This window comes from Homo sapiens, chromosome 1 (genome assembly GCF_000001405.40).
Source record: "Homo sapiens chromosome 1, GRCh38.p14 Primary Assembly".
Classification (NCBI taxonomy): domain Eukaryota; kingdom Metazoa; phylum Chordata; class Mammalia; order Primates; family Hominidae; genus Homo; species Homo sapiens.
The window spans coordinates 71,772,679-71,787,810 of NC_000001.11; the positions used below are offsets into that span (position 1 = coordinate 71,772,679).

Here is a 15,132-nt window from a genome sequence, read left to right on the forward strand (position 1 = left end):
GAAAATGTCTATTCTTCAGAAATTAACACGGAGATATCTAGAGATAAAAAACACCTAGAGATAACAAAGGCCAAGATGTATGCAACTTGCTCTCAACTGGTTCAGTGAAATATATATATGTATATACTTAGTCTACCCACAGAGAAATTGATGAAGCAAATTGACAAAATCCCAATGAATCTAACTGGGTAAAGCATACAGAATATTCTCTGTTTTATTTCTGTAACCTTTTAAAACATAAATTTGAATTTAATTCTCAAATATAGAATGGAAAAAACAGAAAAAAGAAATAATCATTGATAAGGTGAACTGTAAGGAAGCTCACATATCCAGAAACATCTCAGGAAAGGTGTTTTTTTTTGGTGAAAGTATAGTTGAGTTGCAAGAGTTAAAAAGTAGAATGGCAACTGTAGCTGGCCCCAGTGATGTTTGTGATGTGGTTGAACACACAGCCTCATTTTTCTGTAAATAAGGGTGAAGCTGTATGGAGCTATCATCCTGTGACCAACCACTTATTACTGATTTTTAAAACTGGAATTGACCATGAGTGAGTCAGCAAGAATTACCATGGGCATTGCTAAAAACCCTAAATCAATCAGACACATACAAAAACTAGCCATTACTTCTCGTGTTGACATGAGGTATATCTACATCTGTTTTTATTTACTTATTTATTTTTATAACTGCTTTTAACACTCAACATGTTCACAGGTTAACTGCTGTTTTGGGACACATTTTCTTTCATAATATAGCAAAAGAGGAGCTGAGAACATGCAAAATATTGATATTTCTTAGGCAAAATACAAAGAGATCAATGAATTCATAATTTTGCTTTTAAATATAAATTAATAAGTCAAAAAAGCTAATAGAATTATCGGACATGTTCCTTAAAGCAGGAACTCCAGCGTTGTGGGGTTTTCTTTTTCCTTTAGGTGCTGTGAATTTGAATGTAGATCATTAATAAATTATAATTTGAAATTATTGTAAGTGTTTATAAAAATCTCTGCCAAGTCTAGTTATTCATTGGATAATAGTTAATATTTATGCTAATTTTACTCATTTGCTCAGTATGGCAGAATCAGAAAAACAAATCTATGCACAGTTTAACTTATAAACCCAATCTGTCTTCTTTCAGTTTCATGATGTTATCCGTTATCATTATTCTAATAACTTCACTAACCAACATTCCTATTTAATTAAACTAAAATGTATCCAAGCACTTTTAAAAAGAAGAATGTGCATAATAACAAGCACTGCAAAGCAGGAGAGTTAAATTCATAATATTAATCTTAAATTATATGAAGATAGAGATTATGTGTTTTGCTCTTACAAAAATTATATTACCATATCAGATTTAAATTCCTGGAAAGATGATTAAGAATCAGCTTTACATTTACATATTAAGTTTTACTTTTTAAAACACATTTATGCCTATTATATTTTTTGAGTCCCACAATAGCCAAGGATTATTATCATGCAATTTTTGAAAGTAGGAAACTAGCTGGTGGTAACTACAGCTAAGAGATGTGCACAAGGATTGGCAGATTTGATGAATAAGGAACTTGTCTTAAGAGCACATGTGTATAACTCCTGGTTCTGAATTTGCTGCACTTATACCCCACGGAGAGTCCTGCCATGAATTTAAGTGCTCACATATCAGTTTTATGATTTTTCAGTGGTTCTAGAGAGTGAAGAGTTGGCAGTCAAGAGCACACTCATACTTCAGAAATATTGTAGGGGACATAATGCATATTATATAAATATATATTGCAGATATATTGATTTTTTCTCACATAATACCAATACTAAGCATGTGATGTGGGTAAGATTGATTAGACACACTGCATAAATGAGTAAACTGAAAGTCGCTGAAGGGTAATATTAAAGAAAACATTAGCAGATAAAATACATGTTTCAATTGTGCTTGTTCTACACCTGTATAAAATATGCCTTTCTGATTTCATTAAAAGCAGTTTCATTGCATCAGCCTTGCTCAGGGTATTTTCACAAAAAAAAAATATGAAACAAAATCAAATTTCATTCATCTGAAATGAGGTGGGGTCCTATTTATTAAAAGTACATCTCTGACTCCCAGGGTGCACCCAAAGCTATGTAGTTCAAAGTTAAATTTCACACAACTTGATAATTCTGTTAGCATTGTGACTTTGAAAACAGACCTGTTTTGATGATGACTAAGGTCGACTTCCTGAAATTGACTTATAATCTCTTTGGGAGGATGTGCACTATAGCAGAAGTACTGGAAATCTATAAACATGTTATATATTTCATTTCTACTAGCTATGCAATCCTGCACAAGCTACATAAACTCTTGGATTTTTAGATCCCTCATCAGTTAAAATTTAATTCTAACTCCAAAGTCTTTGATTGAAAGCTGCAGTTTGAAATCAGACCCAGCAAACTCATAATTTGATTAACTTTATTCTCCCCTGATTACTTTAGCGGTTCATGCTGACCTATCAACGTGTGAATGCTGATCAAATAAATCTCTTACATATTTAAATGAAGACATTTCTCTTGTGACATTTCCATTTGAGCCTTTTGTCTATTGATTGGTGATTATCCAGCATACGAAAGAGAAAATAACCTTGACTAAGAATCAACAGACATAGGTTCTATTCTGGACTCTGAGTGAAAAGTATTCTTTAACTTTTTTTTTTTTTTTTTTGAGACAGGGTCTTGCTCCGCACCCAGGCTGGAGTGCACTGGTGCGATCTCGGCTCACTGCAACCTCTGCCTCCTGGGTTCAAATGATTCTCCTGCCTCAGCCTCCCGAGTAGTTGGGATTACAGGCATGCACCACCACACCCTTCTAATTTTTGTATTTTTACTGGAGATGGGGTTTCACCATGACAGCCAGGCAGGACTTGAGCTCCTGACCTCAAGTGAGCTGCCTGCCTCGACCTCCCAAAGTGCTGGGATTACAGGCGTGAGCCACTGCGCCCAGCCCATTTAACTTTTATGAACTGCAATGCCTTTAAGTATGAAGAGTAAGTATAAAAATATGCATTTTGGCCAGGCGCGATGGCTCATGCCTGTAATCCCAGCACTCTGGGAGGCCAAGTTGAGCAGATGACTTGAGGCCAAGATTCCGAGGCCAACCTGGCCAACATGGTAAACCCCTTCTCTACTAAAAATACAAAAAAAGTAGCCAGATGTGGTGGTGCAATCCTGTAATCCCAGCTACTCAGGAGGCTGAGGCAGGAGAATCGCTTGAACCTGGGAGGCGGAGGTTGCAGTGAGACCGGTTCGCGCCACTGAGCTGCAGCCTGGGGGACAGAGTAAGACTCTGTCTCAAAAATAAATAAATAAATAAATAAATAAATAAATAAATAAATAAATAAATGCATTCTGCCTACCGCATGAATAAAATACAAAAAATTAAGTTGACTCTTAAGTTCTGAACAAGTGAGGTTAGTGAGGTTACAGGAGAAAAATGAACAGCACAAACAACACTAATGCATTCCTACTTTACCTGATGGGGAGATGTGTCGCCAAGAAATGGAAGGCTCTGGTTTCCCAGTGGCCAAACAAGTAAGAGTGACGTTGGTTCCTTCATTGACGGTCATATCATTTGAGATGTCATATATCTTAGGAGGAACTGAAATGACAAAATACGCAGTGATTAGAAAAAAATATATAAAGTTTTGTTGAAGTACGTATGATTAATTCCATAATATCATGCAAGAAAGGTATGAGGGTGAAATGTATATATGGCCTATGGGCCTCACCTGAAAGATGGATTCTCTAGAACCTCAAGACTTTCTAGGAGTTTTTTATTAGTTTTTTTTCCCCTAATTTTTGGATGTTAAATACCTCAGGATAAATGGAATATTTAATAACAAAAATGTTTAAACATTGATTAAATATGTATTATGAGTAATTTGTGTTAAGTAAACTAGAATATAATCAATCTATTTTATCCATGGATCCTCACTGTATGATGTTTTCCTTGTTGAAATGGTTAAAAAAGAGGAAATACAGAAGAAACTTAAAATAGCAGAATGGTTATTCCTACATACTGATTTAAAAGCTGGGTGAGTTAGGACATGTACATGATTGGGAGGTAAGATTTCATGGTCACAAAGGTATTTTTGACTTTAATTTTCTATCTGCCAGGTAGTAGGGCTAGACTTTCTCAAAATTTGTGTTCTAAGGAACACAAATTCTAAGGACTATGAAAGGTGGATACAATAAAGTTTTCTTATCAATAATGACTGGCAAACACTGGTTGAAACAGATCACTTCAGGACTTCTCATCCTTTGTTATGCCCTTTTGCACTGTAAATCCATAAGAGTCAAGGGGGATATATTGTATTGCATTTTCTCTGATGTATTAGACTAGAGAAGTTTTTATCCCAGAATTTAATCACATAATACATTCGGGAAATGTTGGAGAGAAAAGTCTCTAAACTAACTTCCAGGATTAAATTTCTATATTCTTTGAGAAACCAAATGTCTCATTGAATCCTCAAAGAGCATGGGTATAAATCTCTATTGGCTAACTGCATTATTTAGAGTAAGTTATTTAATTTATCTCAGCCTCAGTGTCTTTATCTGAGAGCAGGAGACAATAATAGTACATGTCCTATCTGGCTGCTATGGAGACTAAGTAAGTCACTACATGTTAAAGGACTTAGAAAAGTGCCTGACATTAGTGTTAGTCATTATTATTAGATGCTATTAAACACATATATGGTGTTTGAATTTCATTTTAGTAGTGCTCTTTTCCTATGCCTTAAAATTGTTCTCAGAAATTCTTCACTTTTGTAGAGGGTATGACTGACCTATGCCATAAATAAGTTTGGGTTACTTTATAAAATTTATACTATGTTACTATTACAGCACAAATATAAATAAATAGCAATTACACCCCTTGGTAATCATTAGAAAAATAAGATTTTTACTGAAATCTTTTTAATTGTTCCCTTCTTTGGGTTTCTTTATGCAAGAGACATGTTTTCACGATTACCTTTAAAGCTAGTAACTAAAATCTGTTGTGACGATAAATTACCCATACTTTGAATTTTTTTTGACAACCAAAACTCAGCCTCAAGAAAATCAAGAATGATATAATTACAAATATAAAGTATTTGATTATGTGTAACTGTTGATATGATTGAGGAGAAGGCTTTTTCCTAAGTAATACACCACTGTAACTGTTTCCAAATGACATAGTTTAATTGGCATTTAAAACACATTATCATCAAACTCTTCAGTGAGCTTTTCTCAGGCAAATAATAAAAATTTTAAAACCATCCCAAACAGAGGGGTCTTTTCAGCTTAACTAAAACAGAACAAAAATAAAAACATTAAATTACCCTAGAAGGAAAGTACAAAAAACTTTGCATTACACTGGTAAATAGGAGAGTTAATAATAATAAATTTACAACATTAAACTAAAAGTATATTTTAGATATTTAGTTGTAGGTATAGGTTTAATTCAATGAACTGTAAAGCACATGTGGATATATATACATATATATATATAGAGAGAGAGACAGATATACATATATAGATGGTCACTGACTTACAATGGTTCAATTATAATGTTTTTACTTTATAATGGTGTGAAAATAATATCCATTCAGTAGAAAGCACATTTTGAGTACCCATACAACAATTATGTTTTCATTTTCAGTATAGTATTTGATAATCTACATGAAATATTCGACATTTTATTATAAAACAGGCCTTTTGTCACATTATTCTGACCAACTGTGGTTAAGTGTCTGAGCACGTTTAATGAAGGCTAGGTTAAGTTATGATGTTCGATAGTTTAAGTGTATTAATTGCATTTTCAATTTACAATGGGTTTATTTGGATGTAACCTTATCATAACATGAGGAGCATCTGTATTCATAAACATACATACAGTGCATAGCAGTGCCCACTATTAAAAAAATTATATAGTGCTTTTTTCCTTTATATAGAAGATAGTATATAGGGCTCTTAGTCTCGCCTAGCGACTTTACTTAATTATTTAAAATATAACTGATTCAAGGTTAGACAGAGATATGTATATGAAGAGAAATAATGAAATGCCATAAGAACATGAATTCCATCCTCGAAATACCATTATTTGGTCAATACTGTCTGATCAAAAAATAGTTTAGTTGGATCTTTACACATCTACATATATTTAAAGTGCTAAACATTATGCTAAACTAATATTCAGCACTAGTATTTGGCTATATAGAGAAACAATTAAGTCCCTTAGAAATAAACTTAGATTTGACATTTACCTATAGGAGATTGTGTAGTGTGGGGAGAGTGGTAAATTCCAGGTGTGACATGTCATTCTCAGTGATTGCAATTGCCTTCCAGGGCCTCATAATTCAGGACATGCTACAGGGAATACACATCTGGGAAGAGGATGTTAGTAAGAGAAAATCCCTCTGACAAGGCTCCTCTCCCCAGAAATGCATCACTTGTTGGAAGCAGATGCCATGTGTAAGAGGGCCAGTGAAATCCTTACATGCACGGTGGCTTGTGGAGACAAAAACAGGTGTTGCTTTGCTGAATATTCAGAACTATTGCATATTCAGTTTAAGCCTTCCAACTTTTACTGACTATCATGAAGGGAATAATTCTTGACCCAAAGGAAATGCAAAAGTTTAAAGGCATGTTACTTGCCCTCAAGAAATTTAAATTAAAAGACAGAAGCGGATAGGTAAGTAACTAAGAGAGGGCAAATATTTTCCACATTTTCCTTTCCCATTTTACAGGAGTAAAACAAGTTCAATAGGTAAAACTTCTGGGTTTAAATCAGTAGACATTAATTTTGTGTTGGTTTATTTTTAAGTTAATTATGTAGAATAGTTTACGCACAAGGTTATTGAGTGCAGACTATTTATAATAGATAAAAACTTTTTTTTTTTCTTTTTTTGACAGAGTCTCTCGCTCTGTCTCCCAGGCTGGAGTGCAATGGCTCAATCTCCGCTCACTGCAACTCCTGCCTCTCGGGTTGAAGTGATTCTCCTGCCTCAGCCTCCGGAGTAGCTGGGATTACAGGCGCCTGCCACTGCGCCCAGCTAATTTTCATATTTTTTAATAGAGATGGGGTTTTGCCACATTGGCCAGGCTGCTCTCGAACTCCTGACTTCAGGTGATCTACCTGCCTCTGCCTCCCAAAGTGCTGGGTTTACAGGAGTGAGCCACCACACCAGGCCAGGAAAACTATTAATAACCTTAAGGTAGGACTGCACAAATGGTGGTATAGAGAATTGGTCAACTGGATGGTGATAACAATTGTCAGCTCTGTCGTCAGAATAAGGTGTGGTATAGAGAAGGGTTTTGGATGGTCCCAGGGCGCATCGTGCTAAGCACTTGCATAGGAAAACCAAAAAAAAAAAAAAAAAAAAAAAAAAAAAAAGAAAAAAAATAGAGGAGAGTTAAAAATAATGTACTATTCTAGATGTGTGCCCCTTTTCTAGATCTTATTTCAGACTCCCTCACATCCTTTTCTAAATACTTAATTTATGCAAAAAGGAGCAGATGTATTTAATCAATTCAACAATTTTTAAGCCATTAAATAACTACAGATTTTAAGAAGTATTTTAAATTGTCATGTACTTTAAGTACTTATGACCTAGGGCAGAGTTATAAAGAAATATATTGATGAGTGTAAACTCATTTAATATGCTGGAAACAATTATTATAATATCCTCACTATCTTCATTATATGATACCATAAAAAGACAATGAAAAGGCAGAAGTCCTAGATTTCATACTAAATCACAGAATATCTCCTAGTGAAACTCTAATTAGGGATATACAAGACTTTACAACTGTGTTCATAATTAATTGTTGTGTATTACCAGTTAGAGAGATCTAAGAACACTGGAAGCTTTCTAAGCAACAGAGGTTGAAAGTAGATTTAAAGATTGTGTTGGGTGAAATGTATTTTAAAACCTCCATATCCATTTAAATGAACTACTCTTGGTCCCTTGCATTCATAACATGCTTTCCCTTTAATTGTTCACTGGCCTAAAATTCAACTGCTACTTAGTACCTGGTCTTCAACTTTTATTTAGTTGGTTCCACAGTGAGGAGATAATGCGTATTTAGATGTATCTACATATTTAGATTCTCTAAAGATAACATATGTCTCTTGTTAGTTTCACTTTCACCAAAAAATGTAGGCAATTTGACTTACTCCACCCACCTTCCCTCTTCTGAGCCCATCTGTGGGTGTCTTCAGGCCAGGTATGAGTCACTTTCAGTAAGAAAAATCTTAGAATGCACATCCAAACCAGATTCTAATGACCTTCACACAGGCTACCATTTTGGATTATTCTCCACTGTTTGTACGATAATGAGCAACTGAGTTTGTGAGTGCACGGCATTATTTTCTTTTAATGTGTACATATTTTCTGATGTATAGAAATAAATTATTTTTGTTTGTTTAATGAGCAGTCTTCAAAGATATAGCTTTAATTTCTTTCAAGAATTCATCATGCTGCCTGCAACATGACCATTAACAGAGAAGCCAGCATCACGGTGACTAATCTGGATATCACAGGAGTCATATAAGCACAGGGTATTTTATTATATTAAAAGTTTTTATCTAAAAAAATCTGTGCAGATGATTTTAGAAAGAATAAATAAAATAGCACCTGAACCAATATTAACTTGCATGACCTGTGAGGTCAGGTCACACATGATATTAAAAACCCTTACAGGATGCGTCTGACAGTTATTTTAACTGTAAATAAAAGGCATAAACTATTTGGATCTGGATAGTTGCACTGGCTCACTGGAATCAATTAAATGCCCCATCGAGCTCTTAAGCTGTAAGAGTCCGTGAAAGACCACAGTGCATACAAATCCATTTGGAGGCTGTCTTTAGGATGCCAGGGCTAAAAGGTAGATGGAATATTTATTTAATCTGGCTCATAAACACTCACAGATTACTGAAAAACATCAGATCAGCATTTATTGTAACCACAATATTCTGGCACAAAAACCACCTGTTTCCTCGGTCAGGATATAAAATCAAAGCAGTGTTTTATAGGGGAGTGCACCGAATGCCCTCTCATTCATTCTCTGAAGTTGTAGACTCATTACCAAAAACCTTTAAAAGTTGTTATATATCTATTTGAATTATGCACACAATTATGAGATCTATTCTCCAAATATGTTCACTAGGACAAATAAGAAGTAAAATAAAAGTGATGCCAACTCTTTGATGTCCTCTTTGACCCACCTCTCCCAACGGTGACTTCTCATACCTCAAAAATTTACCACAAAGAAGAAACAGCGAAATGTACATTAGTGAGTGAATTTTAAAAGATCAAAATTCGATCTTAAAAAATTGTATCACTGATGACTTTGATGATCTTAAAGCAGAATAGGTTTTTCTGGGTCTGCACTGTGGACAATGTTTGTGTCTCTCCCAAATTCATGAGTTAAAATCTTAACCCCCGAGGTGATACTATTAGGAGGTGGGGCCTTGGAAAGGTGATTAGATCATGAAGGGATTAGTGCCCTTATAAAATAGACCCCACGAGCTAGGCCACCCCTTCCACCATGTAAGGACTCAGTGAGAAAGTGTCATCCATGAGAAAACAGGCCCTCTCCAGTGCCTCGATCTTGGACTTCCCAGCCTCCAGAAGTGTGAGAAATACATTTCTGTTGATTATAAGCCATCTAGTTTATGGCATTTTTTATAGCGCCTGAATGTACTAGGACAGAATGTGTCTTGTTGAAATAATTATTTGCACCCATAACTCTCTGCCCCTTTCCACTCCTATACTCATTTCTTGTGATAGTTTTCTTTGCAATCCATAATTATCATTGGTATTTATTTCTTCATTTGTTTATTATCTGTATCTCTTCATAGAATCTAAGTAGAGACCTAGGGTAGGGAAGTTGTGTGCTTTATTCAACAGCATATTGCCAGAACCTGAGAGAGGGCCTGACACATACAGGTTATTCAATAAATATTTCATTGTTCTTTCAGGTGCTAAGCTAATACTTCTTTGATGTCTCAGTGAAGAGATCCTATAAAATTTTATACCATTGCAAGAATCACATAATATAAGTTCTGAGAATATGGTGAAAATGTAATTATAATTTCAAGGGTCCTGTGTGACTTTTTCATGGATTCTCTGAGTTTAGGGATTAAATATTCCTCTAACTCATTTAGAAGCATAATATTTTCTTAGTCCTTTGCCTACTATAGCTTTTGCCATGCAAACCCAGAGAAATAACTGGACAATAATCATACACATTTATTTTTAACAGAATGGTCTGTCACATCTTAGGTAGTCCCATGTGAGTTGGTCTCAGTATTTTTTTTTTTTTACTTTTGGATCTTTGCAAATTTAAAATCAAGAGAATTTGACTCTAATAGTATGTATGTGCATATTATTTCTACTGTTTTTTTCCTCCAAAGACTTGGAGTCTGGGTTAGTTTGGATGAACTATATTTCTGAAGCTTTTCCAAACTGCTTGAGTCAACAAGCTAGACGTAACTATAAATCTTGGGAGAATTGGCTTTTTTGCACTCCCATATCTGGTAATGGCTGGCAATATCAAAAGAACATCCTTCCTTTCACTGGGCTGGCACTCCTCTTTTCAGTATTGGCCTGCCCCCAAAAAGTGAAAGCAGATCTACGTTACATAACAAACCTCCTGGAAAAGGTGTTGTTCTCAAACTGAGATAAGAAATTGTTTCATGCTTTTTTCTCTAAATTGGTTTGCTTGTGGGTTCTTGATGGTTTCATGGTCTGCATCTCACCAGCAACATTATTTTCTCCAGCTGATAGACTATGACTGACTTGTCACAGTTTATGGCATTTCAGAGATTTCTATTGCTTCTCCCCTAATCCCCTCACTCAGAGATAGTGATAACAGGAAAAAGATACCAAGCATGAGTTTTAAATTCAAACTTGCCAAATTCATGAAATACCTACAGATAAAATATGCCAGAACAACTTAGGGGTAAAGAATCCGTATAAGAAAAACGTTATCTGTCGAACTTCAGTTCAAACTTTGAATTATGTTGCTTACTTTACTGTTTTCTCTCATTTAGGATACCTATGCACGAGTTTTTCTCAATCTATTCTGTCCTTCGTGGGGTCACCTATAAAAATCTGGCAAAATAGGCAGTGAACTGTTTTAATTCATCCATCCACCCGTCCATCCATCCATCCATCCATCCATCCATCCATCCAATAGACATTTATTAAGCCCCATCTCAGGGTGACTAATCTTAAGGAGTCCATGTCTAAAGAGTTAGAAAGATACAACATTTCTAATCACAATGCAGAGTCACTAATCCTACAAAGACTTATTCCCAAGGTGTATTGGGAACACAGATTTGTAACTAACTCTTCCTTATGGAGGCAGAATTGAGGGGATGCTGATATTGGACAAGGCTTTTTGAAACAGGTGGAATTTGAACAGAATTTGGTGGTTTAAAACAGTAGTTTCCCACACCCAGCTAATCATCAGGGATAACCGGATGAGTTTTTCGTGATTCTGGGATGGGAGAAAGGTTGATTTAGGATATTCTAGACCAATAGTATGTAGTGAGTTCCAAAGTCTACAGATTTTGGAAACACTGATTTACAGAACACCAGAAAGACCTCTCCTTAAAATTCTCTCTCCTATATTTAAAATCTGCACTCTAAGTAGAAAGGCTTTTTTTTTTTTAAAGATCCTCAGAATATTTATTTGCCTTCAAGGGACTAATGTTAAAATGTAACTAACCCTACAAGAAATGATGACTTATTAACTTGCATCCATTTTCAAACTCACTGAGAGCAGCATAGTGGGTGCAGTGGGGCACCATCCTGGAAGTAGAAAGATGCAATAGGCAACATTTTACCATCGTGTTCTTTTCCCTTGAAAAGCTCAGGATTGGTTCTAAATGGTAGTGATCAAGAAGAGAAGAAAGTAAGACTCTGAGAAGAATGAACCCTACAGGATATGGAATTATAGAGAAACTAAAGTGGAAATTACTTTCTTCTATTTTCTCTTTCTCTCCATCTTCTCTGGACTCTCTAATGCATGGATTATGCAAAGGCATAACAATTTGCCAGTTAGATTTTCAGTAGCAAATAAAAACATACACTTACACATGAAACACACATGAAGTAGGTTTAGTATACATGAAAATTAAATGTGATAAAATGAGCTTTTAAAAGGCTGCTGGTTTTAGAGAGCTTAACATTTATGTAATGATTTTAACATTTTTGGTTGCAGGCAAATTTCTCGCATGCTGTACAAACATTTTATTTTGAAGACAAAAACACAACATGGTTACACAAGAGTTTCAATATTTTGGACTGTAAAGATTTTTATTTTTTTGATTTGTTTTGGCGAGAGGATCAATAGCTAGCCTCTGCACATGAGTGTTTATACACCAGAATTCAAATCACTGCTGTACCTCAGGCTTGCTTCAGTTTCACTTACTTGGATAATTCAAAGATATAAAACACTGCTTAAAATCAGGACCTTAATAGCAGCTACTTCCTCAGGCAACAGCAGCAGCAGCCAGCAGGCTGGAGCACACTTATTGTCGTGCTGTATATCACAGGGAATCTACAATGCCTGCATAATTCAGTCTCTTCCTTAGTAGAAAATGGTCACAAAATAGATAGGAAGAACACCGCAATTGAAATACCTTACAGCACACTAATGTGGGTATCCTAGTGAAGTATAATTCTTAAGGCACCAACTATATAACTTCAAAACCTTCAGTGATGGTAACATTTTATTAAGAATTAATAATGAGGTTTTTTTTTTTCCTGGAAACAATTTGGCAGTATATTTTAAGAACTTAAAAAAATTTCTATTCCATTGAGCCAATGATTCCCCTTCCAGGAATTTATATTAAGGAAAGCAAGTACCTTCTTTCAGTGTAGTTACTATTCCCATAAACCTGGTGGCCAGCTCCATTTGGAAATGTGCCAACAAATACCCTTTGGAATGGCCCAAGTGAACTGTTTTCTTGCCTCATCCTTGGCAGTGAACTATTTTCCCTATAAACCAGAGGAAACAGCCCAGCTGTGTCAAACTAGAACCCAGCTGCCTTCTTTGCAAACATTTCCCATAGCTAAAAGCTTGCTTTAGGGTTTTTGAAAACATGAGAGAACCCAATGTCTACCCTTGGAGTCACAGAGTTATAATGTAACACCTGGCTCCTGGTTTTATAAGGTAAGCCTGCTCAGGTTCAATATACATATTCCTTGTTAGGCTCAGGTTTCTCAAAATGTGTTTTAGCAGATTTTTATATCTAAAAGCTGCTCTGGTGTTTTATGCATTTGCAGAGGAGATGTGTCATTTTAGCACCATTTGAAAAATAACACCTTCTTTGAAGTACTCTGGTTTCTTTGTTCTTTGTAAATAATATTTATTTTTCTAATCATGAAGATAATATACATTCACTGAAAAGAATGTAGACAAATACATAAACATTAAGGAAGAAAAAAAAGTAGCATATTAGGTTGTAATATCTAAAACTGCCCTTTAGTTAAAAACAAATGGATATTGGCAATTTCATATGATTCAATTTAATATAATGCCACCATTTAATAATTATTATTAATAGTTTGATATATTTTATTTTTGTCTTTTTATTCATATGTTTATATAGATCCTAGAAATTTCCATATGATCCAATAAGCTCACCAGGGAATTGGTGCTGAAGCCTTGGCTGGAAATAAATAGTGTGCCCTTCTCAACACTATTTATAGTGATCCCTTCTCAACACTGTGCTCTAGAAAGGGAGTGAGAAGGTAGTTGGATAAGTATTCAAAATAGGACACTGTGGCTTTCTGCCTTCCTTACGGGAAACATGTCTAAAAAAGGTTACCCACAGCAAGGGTTAGTATTTGTTGAACATTTACTGTGAGTAATATACTGAGAGACTAATGACTTATTTGGAGGGAGTGAGTTTGGGTCCATCTTAGGGCAAAGTTCTACATGTCCAGGCCAATTCTTCCTTCCATCCACCCATCTGCTTTTGTGATAGTTGGTTTGTGTGGTGGTTCTATCAACATGGCCACAAATTTTTTAATACTCTTTCCACTAAAAATAGGATCTCTCCCCTTCCCCACCTCATATTAAATTGGAGTAGGCTCTTGGCTGCTTCATACAGTAGAGTTGTGGAAGAAATAATGCTATTTGACTTCCAAACTGGGAAAACAAAACAAAACAAAACAAAGCAAAAAATATTTGTTTCCGGTACTGTTCTCTGAGAACACTCACTCTTGGAGTTCTAGCCCACTGTGGTGTCACCACCTCGGGGCTACCATGCTGGAGAGAACATGTGGAGGCACCACATGCGGTCGCCACATGGAGAGACTGTGATAACAGAAAGAGAGAGAGAGAAAGCTTGGGAAGCACTTCAGCTCATCTAAGCCCTGACTGCCTAAGTCATCCCAGTGAGGCCTCAAATATCCTATCTAAATTGCACAAATTGCAGTCTTCTGAGTAAAACAAATAATTGTAGTTGTTAAAAGCAACCACGTTTGGGCACAGTTTTTAAAAGAATAAAGAAAATTTGAGAACTTATCTTATGTGACTTCACAACTTACCATAAAGCTACTACAAAGCCAGTGTGGTGTTGGTATCAAATAGACAATGGAACAAAGTAAAGCCTCCAGAAATAGATGATAAAACTTCCCATGATGGCCAAGGCCCTGATTACTTATGTTGAAAACAAAAATATCTAATGTTATGGATAAGTAACATATATGAGTAATGTGAGTCAGGACAAAGTATACATACATATTGTGATTGATGGGGCCAGGTAGAGAGCACCTGTCTAAAGAGAGCAGCTACCACTGATAATTTCCATCCTAAAAATAGAAAAGTCTAGGCTTGCTAGAACTTAAGACTGGAAATATTAATTTTTTTTTTGTAGCTTACAATCTCCTCAAAATATCTGTGAAATTAGCCTGGCACTAACCCAAATGACACCTTTATAGGAATTAGAAAAACATGAAGACACTTCATCATTACATGTTGGACAATTTTCTTGATATAAAAGTCTACATGGTTTATGAAAGTAAAGAGTGCCTGCAGATTTGTGTGTGTACAAAATCTTCACCATATGCTGAAAGCTCTTCATGGTCTGGATTCAGCTAGAGAGCCACAATC

General features: G+C 35.4%; 1 protein-coding gene across 4 annotated transcripts in view; it reads right to left on the reverse strand.

Annotated features, from left to right (window-relative positions):
- Positions 1-15,132, reverse strand: part of NEGR1 (neuronal growth regulator 1) — an 886,597-nt gene that overhangs the window by 376,736 nt on the left and 494,729 nt on the right. For all 4 annotated transcript variants that reach the window (NM_173808.3, XM_011541200.4, XM_017000961.3 and 1 more), the window contains exon 3: positions 3,494-3,619. In NM_173808.3, coding sequence (NP_776169.2) covers positions 3,494-3,619 — 126 coding nt within the window. The remainder of the gene's footprint in view (positions 1-3,493; positions 3,620-15,132) is intronic.